Genomic DNA, 20400 nt, shown 5'->3' with positions numbered 1-20400 from the left:
TTTCTGTTTTGTTTGTTTGTTTGTATGTATGTATGTATGGATTGATTGAGACAGGGTCTCACTCTGTTGCCCAGGCTGGAGTGCATTGGTGTGATCATGGCTCACTGCAACCTCAACCTTGTGGGCTCAAGCAGTCCTCCCACCTCAGCTTCCCAAGTAGTGGGGACTGTAGGCGCATGCCACCACACCCAGCTGATTTTTGTATTTTTCGTAGAGACGAGGTTTTGGCATGTTGCCCAGGCTGGTCTTGAACTCCTGGCCTCAAGCAGTCCTTCTGTCTTGGCCTCCCAAAGTGCTGGGATTACTGGCTTGAGCCACCATGCCTGTCCTGTTTTTCTGTTTTATTGTAAAATAACCATTTCAGAAATATAACAGAAAGAGGAAGTATCTCATACTAGGTATCTTAATGCGAAGGGTTACTGACTTTAATACTATGTTATATAGTATCCATTTAGATTTTTTCCATGCATATATACATTATTTTATATAAGTAGAATCATTTACACATATTATTTTTACCTTGCTTTGTATTTACTTAGATTTTTGCATGTTAGTGCAAATATATATAGTTTATTCTTTTTAGTAGCTTTATAATTCCAGTAAGGCTATACTACATTTAACTAGTTAGTATTTTTGGACATTTGAGTTGATTTTTTTTTTCAATACAAATATCCGTGGTTTAGGCTTGAAAAATAGAAAATTAAATGATATGGGAGAAAGCCTCAGAGTCAGATGTGGACTCTGTCCTTGACATGAGGCTGAATCGTTGTAGAACTTTAGGCAAGTCTCTTGGCTTCTCTTCTTTCAGTGAAACGGAGGTTAGACATTATGATCTCCTGGTTCTCTTCTACACTAAAACTTAGAGAAACTCTGGAGTTAGAGTCATAGAGTTCTGCATCAGAGTACAGGTGTCCCTCAGTGTCCATGTGATTGGTTGTAGGAACCCTTGCACTAGGATACCAAAATCCACAGTGCTTTAATCCCTTTTATAACATGGCACAGTATTTACATAGAACCTAAGCATATCATCCTGTATACTTTATTTATTTTTACTTTTTATTTTATGGATACATAATAATTGTACTTCCAATATACTTTAAATCATCTCCAGATAACTTACAATATTTAATACAGTGTAAATGTTATGTAAATAGTTGTTATGCTATATTGTTTAGGGAATAATGACAAGAAAAAATAGACTCTGTTCAGTATACATTCAATCATCCTTTTTTTTTCTTCTGAATATTTTTGATCTGCAGTTGGTTGAATCCACAGATGTAGCACCCACAGATATGGAGGGGTGACTGTATATTGTTATATAATTACAGAGGGTACTGTGCTTCCAGGATTCTCTCATTAAAGGCAAATAAAGTGGGCTCTGCGAGATGTCTCTCAGACCACTGCCAGTCCTGATGGTCTGGAGAAGTTCATAGAATTGGGAGATCAATTAGTATCGAATTTCCAGTTACCCACCTGTTTACATTTTTCCTATTTTTAGATTGTGTTAACAGAAATGTACTATGATGGGTTCCATCGTTCCTTTTGTGATACAGACGACCTGGAAACAGTCCATGAAAGCGACTGCATTTTTGCCTTTGAGACTCCCGAAATATTTAGGCCTGAAGGAATTCTCAGTCAAAGAGGTAAGGGAGCTCCTGTTTCCATAATGCCACCTGGGTTTGCAGGTTTAACTATAGTCTACCTTTTTAGTTGTCTATTATATAATGATATACATTTTTTTTTAAATTGTGGTAAAATACACATGATTTTTTAATGATGGTATAATGGTAAAAATCTTATAGTAATATTTTCCTAGAAGAAGGCAGCTCTTACTGTTTTAGGCAAAGATATATCCATAGTTTAGTTGGGAAAACCTCTTATTGAGATTTAGGACTGACTGTGACCTCTTTAAGTAGCCTTTTTGGCATCTTATCATGACATTCAGGAAGATATACTATGCCATAGGTTTTTTTTTTTTTTTTTTTTTTTTTAAATTTTGCTATCAGCTCTTAAGATTCTAACATTTTTGCTATAGAATGTTTTCTTGGTACCTGCTTTTAAGAAATTTGCATGTAACTCTTCATTGATAGGCAGCAAAATGAAGTAAAGCCCTGGACAGTATTTTTCCTCTTACTGCGGTTTGGGCTGTGATTTGGAACTTAGCTTGTCTCCCCACTGTGCCTGGAGTTACAGGGTTATTCTGATTTTAAGAGTTACCAAGCAACTCAGACTTTGCTCCTCGCCACAGCATTCTTCAGGGTTCCTCTTAGGGCTCCTCTTCTTTTGCTCTACCCCAGTGGTTATTAATGCATCAGTATTACCTGGGAACTGGTTAGAAATGCAAATTCTTGGTCCCTACTCCACACCGAGTAAAGGAGAAACTCTGGTAAACAAGCCCTTTAGGTAGGTGATCGTGATGCAAGCTAAGTGAGAACTGCCGCTCTTATCAGGATTTTCCACGCCTTGATTTTTTGAGCTGAATTCCCCCACTAGCCTCCACTTTTCTTTTGATTCCAGTTCCATTCCTTGACTTCCACCTCCCTACTGGAATTTCTACTTAGAAATCCTACAGGCATCTTACCCTTAGCATTTCTTTCTTAGATTGGTTGCTCCTGCATTTTTTCTAGAAATAATGGCACTACTATCCTCCTCTTCACTCAAACTGGATCCAAGCTTGATAACTTCTCCTTCAAAATTCTCATAGAGCTGTTGACACACACTGCATTTTTCCCCTTTATTCTACTGCCACTGACGTAGTTCAGGCGAGTCCCAACTGAGCCTTTCCAGTAAGTTTTTATCTTTACCACTGAACTTTCTCCTGTCTAGTTATTTCTCCACAGACTTATTCTAATACACAGTTCTGATCATGTTACATGCTATTGATTTACCAGTGGTTCCCCTTTTCTAAGATCAAATCTAAACACCTTGAAAGGAGCATAACCCCCTCCTCCCCTGCCATGATTTGGTCCTTGCCTTTCTTTCCAGTCTCTCTACTCCATTTTCTCTCCTTCCTCGGTTCTTCTCTTTCAGGTTACTCTGTTTCTCAGACATGCCATGTGCTTTTCCATGTTCCTTACCATTTGCTGTGCTGAGGATTCACTTCTCCAGCTTCTATTCTCGTTAGCTCCTGCTTTGTTTTCCCAAGGTACCTTCCAGTCTCCCCATCCTGCCAAGCTCTAAGCACTCATTATTCGACTTTCTCTCTCTCTTTTTTTCTTTTTGAGACAGAGTCTTGCTCTGTCGCTCAGGCTGGAGTGCAGTGGCATGATCTTGGCTCACCGCAACCTTAGCCTCCCGAGTAGCTGGGATCACAGGCGCATGCCACCACACCTGGCTAATTTTTATATTTTTAGTAGAGATAGGGTTTCACCATGTTGGCCAGGCTGGTCTCGAACTCCTGACCTCAAGTGATCCATCTGCCTCAGCCTCCCAAAGTGCTGGGATTACAGGCATGAGCCACCACACCCGGCCCACTATTCTGCTTTGTGTTTCTACAGATTTCCCTAGTCTAGACTTCTATATAAATGGAATAATAAAATACATGGTATTTTGTGACTGGCTTTACTTAGTGTGATGTTTTCAAGATTCATTCATGTTGTAGCATATATCATACTTAATTCCTTTTTGTGGCCAAATAATATTTTATTGTTTGAATAGATCACATTTTGTTTATTCATTGTTAATGAACATTTGGGTTGTTTCCACCTTCTGGCTAATGTGAATAATGCTCCTGTGAACATTCCACACAAGTTTTTGTGTGGACTTATGTTTTCGTTTCTCTTCATACCTGGGAATAGAACTGCTGGGTTGTGTGGTAACTTTATGTTTAATCATTTGGGGTACTTACAGACTTTTCCAAAGTGGCTGCACCGTGTTACATTTTTATCAGCAGTGTTTGAGGGTTCCAGTTTCTCTACGTCCTCGCCAACACTTGATTATTATCTGACTCTTTAATTTTAGCTATTGTAGTGGGTATGAAGTGGTATCTCATTATGGTTTTGATTTGTGTTTGTCACTGACATGATGTTGAGCATCTTTTCTTGTGCTTGTTGGCCATTTGTATATCATATTTGGAAAAATGTCCATTCAAATATTTTACCCATCTTAAAATTGCATTGTTTGCTTTTTGTTGTTGAGTTTTAGGAATTTTCACATATGCTGAATACTAGACCCTTATCAGATATATGATTTGCAAATATTTTCTCCCATTCTGTGGGTGGTCAAAACTACCTGATAATGTCCTTTGAAACACAAAAGTTCTTAGTTTTATTGAAGTCCAGTTTATCTATTTTTTTTTGTTCCTTGTGCTTTTGTTGTCATGTCTGACACTTTATCAAATCCAAAGTCATAAAGATTTACCCCATAATTTCTTTTAAGAGTTTTATAGTTTTAGCTCTTATATTATAGTTTTTTGAACTATTTTGAGTTAATTTTTTATGTGCATGTGCATGTGTCTTTTTAGTAGCATGATATATAATCCTTTGAGTATATACCCAGTAATGGGATTGCTGGGTCAAATGGTAATTCTAGTTCTAGATCCTTGAGGAATTGCAACACTGTCTTCCACAATGGTTGAACTAATTTACACTCCCACCAACAGTGTAAAAGCATTCCTATTTCTCCACATCCTCTCCAGCATCTGTTGTTTCCTGACTTTTTAATGATTGCCATTCTAATTGGTGTGCGATGGTATCTCATTGTGGTTTTGATTTGCATTTCTCTGATGACCAGTGATGATGAGCATTTTTTCATGTGTTTTTTGGCTGCATAAATGTCTTCTTTTGAGAAGTGTCTGTTCATACCCTTTGCCCACTTTTTGATGGGGTTGTTTTTTTCTTGTAAATTCGTTTGAGTTCTTTATAGATTCTGGATATTAGCCCTTTGTCAGATGGATAGATTGCAAAAATTTTCTCCCATTCTGTAGGTTGCCTGTTCACTCTGATGGTAGTTTCTTTTGCCGTGCAGAAGCTCTTTAGTTTAATTAGATCCCATTTGTCTGTTTTGGCTTTTGTTGCCTTTGCTTTTGGTGTTTTAGTCATGAAGCCCTTGCTCATGCCTATGTCCCTAAAGATACTGCCTAGGTTTTCTTCTAGGGTTTTTATGGTTCTAGGTCTAAGATTTAAGTCTTTAATCCACCTTGGATTAATTTTTGTATAAGGTGTAAGGAAGAGATCCAGTTTCAGCTTTCTACATATGGCTAGCCAGTTTTCCCAGCACCATTTATTAAACAGGGAATCCTTTCCCCATTTCTTGTTTTTGTCAGGTTTGTCAAAGATCAGATGGTTGTAGATGTGTGGTGTTACTTCTGAGGCCTCTGTTCTGTTCCATTGGTCTATATCTCTGTGTTGGTACCAGTACCATGCTGTTTTGGTTACTGTAGCCTTGTAGTATAGTTTGAAGTTAGGTAGCGTGATGCCTCCAGCTTTGTTCTTTTTGCTTAGGATTGTCTTGGTGATGCGGGCTTTTTTGGTTCCATATGAACTTTGAAGTAGTTTTTTCCAATTCTGTGAAGAAAGTCATTGGTAGCTTGATGGGAATGGCATTGAAACTGTAAATTACCCTGGGCAGTATGGCCATTTTCACGATATTGATTCTTCCTATCCATGAGCATGGAATGTTCTTCCATTTGTTTGTGTCCTCTTTTATTTCATTGAGCAGTGGTTTGTAGTTCTCCTTGAAGACGTCCTTTGCATCCCTTGTAAGTTGGATTCCTAGGTATTTTATTCTCTTTGAAGCAATTGTGAATGGGAGTTCACTCATGATTTGGCTCTCTGTTTGTCTGTTATTGGTGTATAGGAATGCTTGTGATTTTTGCACATTGATTTTGTATCCTGAGACTTTGCTGAAGTTGCTTATCAGTTTAAGGAGATTTTGGGCTGAGACGATGGGGTTTTCTAGATATACAATCATGTCATCTGCAAACAGGGACAATTTGACTTCCTCTTTTCCTAATTGAATACCCTTTATTTCTTTCTCTTGCCTGATTGCCCTGGCCAGAACTTCCAACACTATGTTGAATAGGAGTGGTGAGAGAGGGCATCCTTGTCTTGTGCCAGTTTTCAAAGGGAATGCTTCCAGTTTTTGCCCATTCAGTATGATATTGGCTGTGAGTTTGTCATAAATAGCTCTTATTATTTTGATACACGTTCCATCAATGCCTAGTTTACTGAGTTTTTAGCATGAAGGGCTGTTGAATTTTGTTGAAGGCCTTTTCTGCATCTATTGAGATAATCATATGGTTTTTGTCATTGGTTCTGTTTATGTGATGGATTACATTTATTGATTTGCATATGTTGAACCAGCCTTGCATCCCAGGGATGAAGCCAACTTGATCATAGTGGATAAGCTTTTTGATGTGCTGCTGGATTTGGTTTGCCAGTATTTTATTGAGGATTTTTGCATCGATGTTCATCAGAGATACTGGTCTAAAATTCTTTTATTTGTTGTGTCTCTGCCAGGCTTTGGTATCAGGATGATGCTGGCCTCATAAAATGAGTTAGGGAGGATTCCCTCTTTTTCTGTTGATTGGAATAGTTTCAGAAGGAATGGTACCAGCTCCTAGAATTTGGCTGTGAATCCGTCTGGTCCTGGACTCTTTTTGGTTGGTAGGCTTTATTATTGCCTCAATTTCAGAGCCTGTTATTGGTCTATTCAGAGATTCAGCTTCTGCCTGGTTTAGTCTTGGGAGGGTGTATGTGTTCAGGAATTTATCCATTTCTTCTAGATTTTCTAGTTTATTTGTGTAGAGGTGTTTATAGTATTCTCTGATGGTAGTTTGTATTTCTGTGGGATCAGTGGTGATATCCCCTTTATCATTTTTATTGTGTCTATTTGATTCTTCTCTCTTTTTTTCTTTATTAGTCTTGCTAGCGGTCTATCAATTTTGTTGATCTTTTCAAAAAACCAGCTCCTAGATTCATTTATTTTTTTGAAGGGTTTTTTGTGTCTCTATCTCTTTCAGTTCTCCTCTGATCTTAGTTATTTCTTGCCTTCTGCTAGCTTTTGAATGTGTTTGCTCTTGCTTCTCTAGTTCTTTTAATTGTGATGTTAAGGTGTTGATTTTAAATCTTTCCTGCTTTTTCCTGTGGGCATTTGGTGCTATAAATTTCCTTCTACACACTGCTTTAAATGTGTCCCAGAGATTCTGGTACGTTGTCTTTGTTCTCATTGGTTTCAAAGAACATCTTTATTTCTGCTTTCATTTTGTTATTTACCCAGTAGTCATTCAGGAGCAGGTTCTTCAGTTTCCATGTAGTTGTACAGTTTTGAGTGAGTTTCTTAATCCTGAGTTCTAATTTGATTGCACTGTGGTCTGAGAGACAAGTTTGTTGTGGTTTCTGTTCTTTTACAGTTGCTGAGGAGTGCTTTACTTCCATTTATGTGGTCAATTTTAGAATAAGTGCGATGTGGTGCTGAGAAGAATGTATATTCTGTTGATTTGGGGTGGAGAGTTCTGTAGATGTCTATTAGGTCTGCTTGGTGCAGAGCTGAGTTCAAGTCCTGGATATCCTTGTTAACCTTTTGTCTTGTTGATCTGTCTAATGTTGACAGTGGGATGTTAAAGTCTCCCATTATTGTGTGGGAGTCTAAGTCTCTTTGTAGGTCTCTAAGGACTTGCTTTATGAATCTGGGTGCTCCTGTATTGGGTGCATATATATGTAGGATAGTTAGCTCTTCTTATTGAATTTGATCCCTATACCATTATGTAATGGCCTTCTTTTTCTCTTTTGATCTTTGTTGGTTTAAATTCTGTTTTATGAGAGACTAGGATTGCAACCCCTGCTTTTTTTTTGCTTTTCATTTGCTTGGTAGATCTTCCTCCATCCTTTTATTTTGAGCCTACTTGTGTCTCTGCACATGAGATGGGTCTCCTGAATACAGCACACTGATGGGTCTTGACTCTATCCAGTTTGCCAGTCTGTCTTTTAATTGGGGCATTTAGCCCATTTACATTTAAGGTTAATATTGTTATGTGTGAATTTGATCCTGTTATTATGATGTTATTTGGTTATTCTGCCCGTTAATTGATGCAGTTTTTTCCTAGCATTGATGGTCTTTACAATTTGGCATGTTTTTGCAATGGCTGGTACCGGTTGTTCCTTTCCATGTTTAGTGCTTCCTTCAGGAGCTCTTGTAAGGCAGGCCTGGTGGTGACAAAATCTCTCAGCATTTGCTTGTCTGTAAAGGATTTTATTTCTCCTTCACTTATGAAGCTTAGTTTGGCTGGATATAAATTTTGGGTTGAAAATTCTTTTCTTTAAGAATATTGAATATTGGCCCCATTCTCTTCTGGCTTGTAGGGTTTCTGCAGAGCGATCTGCTGTTAGTCTGATGGGCTTCCCTTTGTGGGTAACCTGACCTTTCACTCTGGCTGCCCTTAACATTTTTTCCTTCATTTCAACCTTGGTGAATCTGACAATTATGTGTCTTGGGGTTGTTCTTCTCGAGGAGTATCTTTGTGGTGTTCTCTATATTTCCTGAATTTGAATGTTGGCCTGCCTTGCTAGGTTGGGGAAGTTCTCCTGGTTAATATCCTTGAAGAGTGTTTTCCAGCTTGGTTCCATTCTTCCCATCACTTTCAGGTACAGCAATCAAACATAGATTTGGTCTTTTCACGTAGCCCCATATTTTTTGGAAGCTTTGTTCATTTCTTTTTACTCTTTTTTCTCTAACCTTGTGTTCTTGCTTTATTTCATTAATTTGAGCTTCAGTCACTGATACCCTTTCTTCCACTTGATCGAATTGGCTATTGAAGCTTGTGCGTGCATCACAAAGTCCTCATGCCATGGTCTGCAGCTCCATCAGGTCATTTAAGCTCTTCTCTTCACTGTTTATTCTAGTTAGCCATTTGTCTAACCTTTTTTTCAAGGTTTTTAGCTTCCTTGCGATGGGTTTGAACATGCTCCTTTAGCTCAGAGAACCAACCTTCTGAAGCCTACTTCTGTCAACTCATCAAAGTCATTCTCCATCCAGCTTTGTTCCATTGCTGGCGAGGAACTGCGATCCTTGGAGGAGAAGAGGTGCTCTGGTTTTTAGAATTTTCAGCCTTTCTGCTCTGGTTTCTCCCCATCTTTGTGGTTTTATCTACCTTTGATCTTTGATGTTGGTAACCTACAGATGGGGTTTTGGTGTAGATGTCATTTTTGTTGATGTTGGTGCTATTCCTTTCTTTTTGTTAGTTTTCCTTCTAATGATCAGGTCCCTCAGCTACAGGTCTGTTGGAGTTTGCTGGAGGTCCACTCCAGACCCTGTTTGCCTGGGTATCACCAGTAGAGGCTGCAGAACAGCAAATATTGCTGCCTGATCCTTTCTCTGGAAGCTTCGTCCCAGACAGGCACCCGCCTGTATGAGGTGTCTGTCGGTTCCTACTGGGAGGTGTCTCCCAGTTAGGCTACATGGGAGTCAGGGACCCACTTGAGGAGGCAGTCTGTCCATTCTCAGAGCTCAAATGCCATGCTGGGAGAACCACTGCTCTCTTCAAAGCTGTCAGACAAGGACCTTTAAGTCTGCAGAAGCTGTCTGCTGCCTTTTGTTCAGCTATGCCCTGCCCACAGAGGTGGAGTCTATAGAGGCAGCAGGCCTTGCTGAGCTGTGAGGGGCTCTGCCCAGTTTGAGCTTCCTGGCTGCTTTGTTTACCTACTCAAGCCTCAGCAATGGTGGATGCCCCTCCCCCAGCCAGGCTGCCACCTCGCAGTTTGTTCTCAGACTGCTGCGCTAGCAGTGAGCAAGACTCCGTGGGCATGGGACCCACCGAGCCAGGCATGGGAGAGAATCTCCTTGTCTGCCGGTTGCTGAGACCTTGGGAAAAGCACAGTATTTGGGCAGAAGTGTCCTGTTTTTCCAGGTACAGTCTGTCACAGCTTCCCTTGGCTAGGAAAGGGAAATCCCCCGACCCCTTGAGCTTCCCGGGTGAGGCGACACCCCACTCTGCTTCAGCTCACCCTCCGTGGGCAGTACCCACTGTCCAACCGTCCCAATGAGATGAACCAGGTACCTCAGTTGGAAACGCAGAAATCACCCATCTTCTGCATCGATCATGCTGGGAGCTGCAGACCAGAGCTGTTCCTGTTCGGCCATCTTGGAACGGATCCACTTCATTCCTTTTTAATGGCCGAACAGTATTCCATACATACATATGCATGTACCACATTTTGTTTATCCACTAATCTATTGATGGGCATTTGTTTTTTTCCTACCTTTTGTCTATTATGAATAGTCCTACTATGAGCATTTGTGTACAAGTATTTGTTTGAATACCTGTTTTCAGTTCTTTTGGGTATGTACCTAGGAATGGAATTGATGGATCATATCATAATTCTATGGTTGTCTTCTTGGGAATTGCCAAACTGTTTTCCACAGGAGCTGGATCATTTTACGTTTCCACCAGCAATAGATGAGAGTTCTAATTTCTCCACATCTTTGCCAACATTTATTTTTCATCTTTTTGATTTTAGCCATCCTGGTGAATGTGAAGTGTTACTTCATTGAGGTTTTGACTTGCATTTCTCTAATAGTAAATGATGATGAACATCTTGCCATGTGCTTGTTTGGCCATTTATATATTCTCTTTGGAGAAATGTCTATTCAAGCCTTTTTCCCATTTTAAATTGCATTATCTTTTTGTTGAGTTGTTTTTGTTGAGTTGTAAGAATTCTTTGTAAGGATGTATAATACTAGACCCTTATGGGATATATGACTTGCAAGTATTTTATTCCATTCTCTGGGTTTTTTCTCTTTCTTGATAGTGTTCTTTGACGTACAAAAGTTCTTCATTTTGATGAAGTCTGTTTTTTCTTTTGTTGCTCATAATTTTGTCGTCATATCTAAGAATCCGTCACCACATCCAAGGTCATAAAGATTTACTCTTGTGTTTTCTTCTGAGTTTTGTAGTTTTAGCTCTTACATTTAGGTTGTTGATACATTTTAAGTTAACCTTTATAAATTGTATGAGGTAGGGACCAAACTCCATTCTGGGACAAGTAAATATTTACTTGTCCCAGCACCATTTGATGAAGAGATTGTACTGTCCTCATTGAATGGTCTTGGTGCTCTTGTTGAAAGTCCTTATTTTAATTCCTCTTTTACTTTACCCTCTACTTCCAGAGGCCTCTGGCACCTCCAGTTTCTGATTCTTTCGGTGATCCTGTATATTGGGTTGGCCAGCTTTCTCCAATGCCAGCTTACAATTCAGTTTTCTCTGGTCTACTCATATTTACAATATTTTCTAGATAGTCTATTATTTCACTTATTCTTCTTTGACCCAGGTGCTTGTTTGTGTTTCTTTTCCAGTTGTTACGTTTCCCTGTATGTGTTTTTGTTTGGATTGTTTCTAGTTTTATTGCATTACAGTAAAAAATACCTAAATTATCTTGTCCAGAGAGCCTTTCCTCACTCCCTTTACCTGCAGGCTGGCTGGCGAACTCCTGCTCTTCTGGGCAGTTAACTTCTGTTAATCTCTCACACCAGCGTGTTATGTGGAAATGATTTGTTTTCTTCTCTGTCCTTCCCACCACACTGTGAAGTTCTCTGGAGCTGGGGCCACATTTTGCTTTATCTTGTTATACCCAGCAGTGCAATATAGTTCTTAATATGCAGCAAGAGCCCAGGTAATGTTTGTTCAACTGAAAGTTTCTCAAAATCCTGTTCCCACCCCAGTTGCTTAGGGTTAACACTAAGCTTCTATTTATAAGTGAATTTGGTGAATCCAAAGGTTATTGTATTCTAGCCAGAGACTGCCTTATTGAGTCTGCGTTAGCCTCTATCCTAAGGCCTTAACAGATGTTTTATTCAATATATAATGAGGCTACTGCTTTCCCCACATTACTGGTGAGGAAGCTGAGACTTGGAGATGAAGTAACCACTCCCAGCTCACACAGCTGGCAGTAAATGGGTCCACAGTTTGAACACAGAGCTTGATTTCTGTGCAGTTGACAATGTGGCATCCCCTTATCTCGTCAGGAGTCCACATCTATTCTAGGAGAACAGATCTTCCCACCCTTACCTCTGCCAAGAACCTGGGAAACGAGTTTATTGTCTCAACTTCAGATATCTATTATTTTTATTTTCTCATACCAGAGTTTAAAATGGTTAGGAAGTAAGATCTACTCCTGTTCCTTTTGTGATTTCTTTATGGTGTTTAAGCTTAAAAAGTTTTCTTCCCTCTAGTGGCTTGACAAAGATTCAGCTTTTTTCTTATTTCTAGTTTGTATGTGTTGTTTTTTTAAACTCTATCTGGAATTTATATTGGCATTAACTATGTACTTTGTCATTTTAAATTGTTATAATGTTGAGGTATCTTAATAGGTTCAGTGAGTCTTAGATTGCTGAGTATTGAGGTTATTGCCAGCATTCTGCTATAAATACTTTTGTGTAGGCCATTTGTATTTTATTCTCTTTCTGGTGGTATTATTATTAATGGTGGTGGCAGGAGGGGTTTCTTCTATTTTCCAGCTGGGATGTCATTTCCCTAGGCTGTGCTTCCAAAGGATTAAAGGAATGAACAGGTAGTCAGGCATTTATTGGGGTTGTGCTGGGTGCTGAGTTGCTGGGTACTTTGATTGACAGGGAGCTCTGCTTTGGGGCATTTGGGAGGATCAGTACTGTGCCTGTCAAATATATATTTTTGTTAACTTTAATGTGGATTGATCCAGTCTAGTAGACTGTATTCCAAGTTGGAAGATTCTCCTGATGGCTCTGAGTCTAGTAGGTGTAGTGTGTAATTTACCTTTTATTTCTTATAAGTCTGGCTCTTTAATCAGGGAGAAGAAACTGCTATTGAATATTGAAGAACATTCCACATCTTTATTTTTTAAAAATTTGTTTGATTACTGGTTGCATGACCTCACTAAATTTTCTTGGTGAATCATCTCAGCACACATGCCCTTCTAAAACTGTATCTAACCTTCACTGAAGTGCAGTTTTAATTTTCAGTTTTTAAGATAGGTAAGGCTAGTTTAAAGGAAATAATAATGGATGCTAAAGAAATTCTCTAACGGCTAGATGAGTAATCTAAGTAGGATGTTTCTTTTTTTGATTGCAGTTTAATTTACATAATGACATTTTTAAAAAAAATTTTCTCTGTTGGGTAAATTTCTTCATAACGAGTGAATAAAAATAATTTTGAAGAGATAAAATGAGTTGTTTTTATTCTGTTTCAGGAATTCATTTAAACAACAACCTAAACCACTTGAAATTTGGCTTGGATTATCATAGACTGTCTTCTCCTACACAAACAGCAGCAAAGCAGGGGAAAATGGATTCTCCCACATCAAGAGCAGGCAGCGACAAGATTGTCCTGTTGGTGTGTAACCGAGCCTGCACTGGGCAACAAGGGAAAAGGTGAGAACCAGATTATTTTCCAGTAAGTACCTAGACTGTAACAGTTCAGTATTTTCAAACATGTTAAAAAGCATGGGCAAAAAGTTCTTACTTTTAGTAGTTAATTTTTGATTCTGATATTTAGAAAGAATACATGTACAAGTTGACCTGATTTGGGGGGTTGGTCGGGGGAGAGTAAAATTAGGAATCTGGGGTTTTTTGTTGTTGTTGTTGTTGTTTGTTTGTTTGTTTGTTTTTTGATATGGAGTCTCGCTGTGTTGCCCAGGCTGGAGTGTAGTTGCGCGATCTCGGTTCACTGCAACCTCTGCCTCCCAGGTTCAAGCGATTCTCTTGGCTCAGCCTTCCGAGTAGCTGGGATTATAGGCGCCAGCCACCACACCCAGCGGATTTTTTATATTTTTAGTAGAAATGAGGTTTCACCATGTTGGTCAGGCAGGTCTCAAACTCCTGACCTCAGACGATCCGCCCGCCTTGGCCTCCCAAAGTGCTGGGATTATAGGCGTGAGCCACTGCATCTGGCCAGGAGTCTAGTTTTAAAAGTCCCATTTCATATGTGTATTTTCAGTTCAGGCTCCTCTTGGGGCTCTAGACCCATTTCCAGCTACTTTCCTGACAGCTTTTTTATTTTTATTTTTTTAATTGTTAACATGTCTACTTGGATGGTGCATGTCCCTCAGTCTTCTGTCCCAAATTGAACTTATGTCTTATGTCCCAAGTTGAATTGAAGTATGTCCAAATTTTCTTTCCTTTTAAAACTGGCTCTCCAGTATTTCCCATCTTGGCAAATGGCACCACACATTCATTCAGGTTTCTAAGTCAGAAATTTGGGAGTCAGAAATCTCTCTCAAATTTGTCTAATGCCCTCTGTAAGAGTGTATGGGTGTTTTAGACTATCTTTTAAAGTAACTCTGTCACAGTAGGAATGTAACCTGAGTATTAACAAGAGACAGATATGTTTCAAGGAGAAAGGACTCAGTGTTTCTTAACATTTGTTAGAATAGCCTTTATGTTAGCCTTTGAAAATTTTGCTTTGAAATAAGTTCCCTGCATAGTAAATAACATAAATGTAAAATGTGTTGATATGCATATTTATGCTATTCATTGACAGGTATTTTAGTGTTTACAGTGTGTTGGGCATGGTTCTAAACACTGGGGATTCAGCAGGGAACAAGACAGGCAAGGTCTGTGTCCTCATGGAGCTTCCATCCTAGCTAGGACAGACCGACTATGAACAAGCAGACGTCTTTAACTTCAGACAGTCCGTACCACGTCGAAGGCATTAAAACAGACTAGAATGATAGAGTGTGATGGTGGGAGGCTGGCAAGACAACATTAGGAAGGGAGGTCAGGGAAGACGTCCCTGAAGAGACCGCAGCCAAGCTGAGCCCCAGTGTGCTGTGTGAACATGGGGGGAAAGGATCCCATGCAGAGGGAACACCCGGTACATGCACACAAGACTAGGAGGAGCTTGGTGTGTGTCAGGCACAGAAGGAATGAAGTAAAGAACCTGTGGAATTCCCTTCATGATGCTAGTCTCTTAAAGAGTGAAGTCATTATTTTAAAAAAATATGGTTGGGTGATTTACATGTACTTGTAACTCATTTCACCTCACAGTAGTTTTTAGGCAGATTGGTTCACTGTTAAGCACCACTGTGAGCGAACAGTTTGATAGTTGTTGGAAACTGGTTTCTTGGTGATCTTAGCACCTCTACTTCCCTCTGGGCCTGAGTCAGAGTTAATCTGTTAGATCATTTGTTCATTCATTCATTCATCTATTTTCTAGACATTGTCTGTTTGCGCTACTAAGATAAATAAATCACAGTGCTTGCTATCAAATAACTCACAGCCTATTGGTGGAGGCAGAAAAATAAGCAGGCATTGTTTATAGCACAGTATACACAGGGAACAAGCCAACAGGGTGCCTCCTGGAAAAGAATACCTCCACTGGGTCTTCACATGAGTGAGTAGGAGACAGCCTAGACTCAGAAGGGTGGGGAGGGTATTTTAAGCAGAGGGAGTTCCCTGACAAAAAGACATGGATGTGTGAGAGTAGGACACATTCAGGGAATTCAGGTTTGACTGACTGGGCGTGGATGAGAGTTGAGGCTAGGATAGTGGTCCTCAACATTGGCTGCATATTAGAACCACCCAGAGAGGCCCTAAAAACATCTCAGTGCTCAGATCATATTCCAGACTGATTTCATCAGAATCTCTCCGGGGGCTGGACTTGGGCATCATTATTTTCTAAAGCTCCTCTTGTGATTTTGGTCTTCGGTCTGTGCAGCTGAGGCCAAGAACCACAGTACTGCTTGGACTCTGTGGGACATAGCTCTGGAGCTGACTTTCACTGTCACTTGCTTGCCAGTGCCTCCCTTGTTGTCAGAGACTCAAGAATGTGGCTGCCTGTCTGTGAGACCTTCCAGCCCTATCTAGTCCTCTGGCACCCAACCTCTTATGAGTTCGACCTGTGCTGTTTGCCAGGCTCATGTCCACTCCCACCCCCTGTGCTCTCCATCTTCACTGATCCTGCCCCGTTGCCACCTGCTGTCCTAGCACCATACTCCCCTAGAAGCCATTTTGGTGTATTGGCTATTAAATTTCATTTAGAAATCCAAGCTGTTCATCTCCTTATGAAGAGTTACCATTAAATTTCCTGTTTCTTTTATTTTGAGAACTGTCCTAAAGCCAATTATATTGTGATTCCGTTTTAAGAGATCGAGAAAAAAAGATAACAGTGTTAAAGGAATTACCGTACTTTAAAGGTGATTACATTGTTGATGTGTGTTAGATTTGGACTGCCTTTTGTGCTGCACTTAGAGAAGACAATAGCTTGGGACCTTCTGCAGAAGGAAATCTTGGAGAAGATGAAGTATTTCTTGAGGCCCACGGTTTGCATTCAGGTTTGTAAGCATTTTGATATTCCAGCATAGCATGGGTATATACTCAGTGAAGAAACAAACATTACAATGAAATTTGAGTTTCTTGTGTTTAGATTTCCAGGACTGAGAATTTATCCCTCATTTTATGAAAGAGCTAGCCACTGCAAGGTTTTCCTTGAACTGCTGCATATTCCTTTATAATATTTATCTAATAACGTTCAATACATGATCAGCTTGGAAAGGATTTAGTAGAATGTCTATCTGTATATGTTAAAAATTATTACTATGTTAAGGTATCCGTGGAAGACCATTAAGCTGATGTTTAGTAAAGGCAATGTGTTACTTGTCTTGCATAACATATTTGATACGTAAATCGCATTTGGGTAAATAATATTTAAAGTGTATTAGAGTGGCTCAACAACCTTATAGAATCTTATAGTGAAGCATTTTGCAGAATAAACAGTTTACTGTAACTCTAATCTGTTTTGGAAATGCCACTGTGAAACAGATGCCCTTGAAGAAAAATTTGGCTTAATTCTCATCTAACATCTGATGCAGGTGTGTCCATTCAGCTTGCGTGTGGTCAGTGTTGTTGGAATAACATATTTGCTGCCCCAGGAGGAGCAGCCCTTGTGCCACCCAATAGTAGAAAGGTAAAAAAAATTTTTTTTTAAATTACCTTTTAGAATCTCACACATATTCATGTGTGATTTCAAGTGATGTCTTATATAATTTCCACATAAGTGTGCAGGGTTCTTTAGGCTTATTTCGAAATTAAGTACTTATTTTACTTTTGATTTGTGCTTGGGTATATGTTTGATGATCTTTCTTGAAATAAGAAAAGCCCTGGAGGACTTGGGTTAGGAAAGCAAATTAACGTATGTCCTAGGACTGTAGATAAATTACACTTTCATATTCACCAGGAATGAAGTTTTGTAAAGTAACGTTCTAATCAGGCCACATTCTTCCTTAAAACCCTTATATGGCAACTTGTGGCCTAAAAAATAAAGCCCGTGTTCCACAATGTAAGAAGTTCTTCACAGTTTGAATTCCGCTTACTTTTGTCAGGCTTTGCTCTTCCTCTCCCCACTATCCCAACCTTTCAGCAGCATTAAAGTACAGATGATTGTTTGAACAGGCGATACTATTTTATATGCGTGCTTTGCATGTGTGGTTTCCTCCGTCCGTAATTCCTTTCCTTTAAGCCCTTTTTTATACTCTTCCTCCTCCCACCCCCAGCAACCTGCCCCATAGAATTAGTCACTCTACTCTGCTACCTCTGTGCTGTCTAAATCTGTTATAATACTCTATTGTATTAATAAAATAATATACATATATACACACTATGTATCTATGAATATATAATATACATGTGAAAACTCAAATTTTTTATAATAAAAATTATTATAATGATTTTTTCAACAAATATTGTAGTGCCTATATTTCAGGATTCTAAAAAAGCATACAATATGGTCCTGCTTGAAAGCTTACTGTTTGGGTTTAGAGATGAGAGTTAGTAGACAACAATCCAAAATATTGCATAACAAACAAGATGAGATAGGTAATATTAACTGAGTTCTGGGTTTCTCAGGAGATGGCAAGGAGCCAGTGAACTTGGGACGGGGGTAGCTTTGGAGGAAGGAGGAAGAAGGGTGCAGTCTAGAGCAGGCATGGCATGTTGGTGGAGAGGTGGAAAGGTGCAAGGGGCGACTTTGTTCCCAGGGGACTACCGTCCAGTGTCTGTTTGGGTGGGTGAAAAATTGGGCAAGAAATTGGGAAGGTCATAATGACTATCTGAGAGTGATCATCAACCTTATGACACTAAATTTCTTCCAACCTCTTTATTATTAGTACTGTATTGGGCTTTTTAATTTAAGGGTTTTTCAGTTTAGTTGAAATGTAGTTATTAAATCAGTGGTTATAGTGGTCTTGCTGAAAACTTTTTTCTGATGGGGAACTATGATGAAGATTTTCATTAATCACCTGAAATTATGATTTTGGGTAGGACATAATCACATTAAGTAAAATCATTTGTTTAGAAAATAATATGTGGCTTCCCTCTCCACTTCCCTGGTTCTATAGGGCATTAAAATCTTGTGGACCAGGTGGCACTGCTCATGTGAAATTAGTAGTCGAGTGGGACAAGGAGACAAGAGATTTGTGAGTATTTTTAAAGTTAGTGTTTATAGAAACATTGTTTTAATTATCATTTTTATAGCACACCTTTGATATGTTAAATGAGCTGAAACACAAATCTCTCTTCTCTTTAGCTAAGTATCCAGGTGTGTTGTTAACCCTTTATTTAAGCAGTTTATTATTCCTTTCCTATACATTCTCTCTTCCCAATCCCAGAACCTTAGAACATTTGTTCACTGCTGAAAGAGAAGCTGTATACTCATTAGCTACTATATAGGTTCAATTTACTTTGATTTTTATTACAGGCCCATTAATTCTAGAAAGCAATGTCAGATGCATGTTCTTAGATGTAAAGGACAGGAATATGTGGTTTAACCAGTACAGTTCATGGCCAAACCCAGAAAAATCAAGTTAGTTCTGGAAATAACTTTGTATACAGAGAACTTTTCAAGAACATTTTGGAATATAGAAAAGTTGGGTCACTACTTTTGTTTTCTTACACATTGATTTTTTTTTTCCTTCGGTTATGAGTTTGTAGTCACTTCATGAAGCCATAATTGTATTTTTCCTTCTGTTTTGCAAGACATTCCCTGATAGATGCTTTTCCCCCTAATTGCAGCTTATTTGTAAATACTGAGGATGAGTATATTCCTGATGCAGAAAGTGTTCGTCTGCAAAGGGAGCGTCATCATCAGCCTCAAACCTGCACTTTATCCCAGTGTTTCCAACTGTACACCAAAGAGGAGCGGGTAAGAGACTGGGCAGCATTTCTTGGTTGCTCAGGGCAGTGGGGAGTGGGGCATGGCAAGGTGATAGTGGAGAAACAAATCACGCCCCAGAAGTCGCCGCAGGATTTTGCATATATGTAAGTCTGCACATGTAATGAGCATCTTAATGCTCTTGCTTTTAGGACTTTAACAAGAAGTTGTAAGTTTCTAGAAAACCGTGATTAATTGAAGTACTCTGGAAATGAACCTTCATAGTTCTTTTTAATGGTTAATGATCAAGTTTTGGTGATTTTCTTTCTCAATTTAGAAGTTTTAAGATCTTTTCCTTAGTAACTTAAACAGTGATTCTTGACTTTTTGGTACTAAGAACATAAGTGCCAGGACCTATTTAAATTTAAATTAATTAAATTTAAAAAATTAATTAAAATTAAGTGAAGTAAATAATTCAGTTCCTTCGTTGCATTAGTCATGTTTCAAGTGCTCAGCAGACACATGGTGGCTAGTGGGTCCCATATTGAACAGCGTAGATATAGACCAGAAAGTAGACAGCAAGGCTTCGCAGGTAGTAGGGACCCAGTAAGTATTTAAATGAATGGATGGACAGAGAGATGGATAAATAAGCCTCTTTGGGTGGGGCCCAGGCCTGTGTGATTTTTATGCACCTTATAAACATTGACTAGAGTACTTGGAGTCATCTAACCTTGCATTGATATCTAGGATCATAATTTTGACTACTAGTTGTAACTCTTCACTCTTAAATGGAGTCATGCAATTTCAGGATTGAAGGGGACTTTAAAACTCTTTTATTCTGGTGGTTGGGTTCTTCTTCTGCTTAATTTCAAATAGGTGATTGCTTAGCCTGAGTTTGAGTATCTTTTGTTATGAGGTAGTTTGCCTCGTTAAGACAGAGATAGACCATGTTTTCTCTGGATGGCTCTGATGGTGACTGAAGTTAACCTGAAATATGTCCACTGGTTACTATAGCCAACAGTTGTTCTCTGTCTTAAATTCATTATGACTCAGAAGTCCTAATATTATTTTTGTCTGTTGTTCGAATATTTGAAAATAGCTTTTGTATTTCCAGCGAGTCTTCTCTCCCCCACACTGTTTTTAGCTAGTTTCTTTAATAATAGTTTTTCATAAGACATGGGTTTTTTTTTTCACCCCTTCCCCCCCCCCCCCCCCGCCAGGTTTGCACTCAATTATGAAATAGTTGGCTTTGGAATTGGTTGACTGTAGGTTCTCTATGACACCTTGCCCTGTTTAGCTTTTTTTTTTTTTTTTTAATGACTTTGGAGATGTTTGATAATGGCACAAAG

General features: G+C 39.1%; 1 protein-coding gene across 7 annotated transcripts in view, besides 1 other annotated feature; it reads left to right on the top strand.

Annotated features, from left to right (window-relative positions):
* Positions 1-20400, top strand: part of USP31 (ubiquitin specific peptidase 31) — an 88047-nt gene that overhangs the window by 45491 nt on the left and 22156 nt on the right. For all 7 annotated transcript variants that reach the window (NR_170599.1, NM_001387221.1, NM_020718.4 and 4 more), the window contains 6 exons: positions 1499-1643; positions 13158-13338; positions 16127-16238; positions 16776-16870; positions 18300-18377; positions 18973-19102. Coding sequence is in view for 6 of the 7 variants with exons in the window: in NM_001387221.1 (NP_001374150.1) it covers positions 1499-1643; positions 13158-13338; positions 16127-16238; positions 16776-16870; positions 18300-18377; positions 18973-19102 (741 nt within the window). In the remaining variant the exon portion in view is untranslated. The remainder of the gene's footprint in view (positions 1-1498; positions 1644-13157; positions 13339-16126; positions 16239-16775; positions 16871-18299; positions 18378-18972; positions 19103-20400) is intronic.
* Positions 9820-10366: an enhancer, noted in NCBI's record as "H3K27ac-H3K4me1 hESC enhancer chr16:23104917-23105463 (GRCh37/hg19 assembly coordinates)". NCBI's record gives its function as "activates a minimal SCP1, AML or CMV promoter by ChIP-STARR-seq in naive H9 embryonic stem cells {active_cell/tissue: H9 hESC(naive)}" and the evidence as "EXISTENCE:reporter gene assay evidence [ECO:0000049][PMID:30033119]".

This window comes from Homo sapiens, chromosome 16, assembly GCF_000001405.40.
Source record: "Homo sapiens chromosome 16, GRCh38.p14 Primary Assembly".
Taxonomy (NCBI): domain Eukaryota; kingdom Metazoa; phylum Chordata; class Mammalia; order Primates; family Hominidae; genus Homo; species Homo sapiens.
Note: the sequence above shows the minus strand (reverse complement) of the source record. Positions and strands in the feature narration are given on the sequence as shown.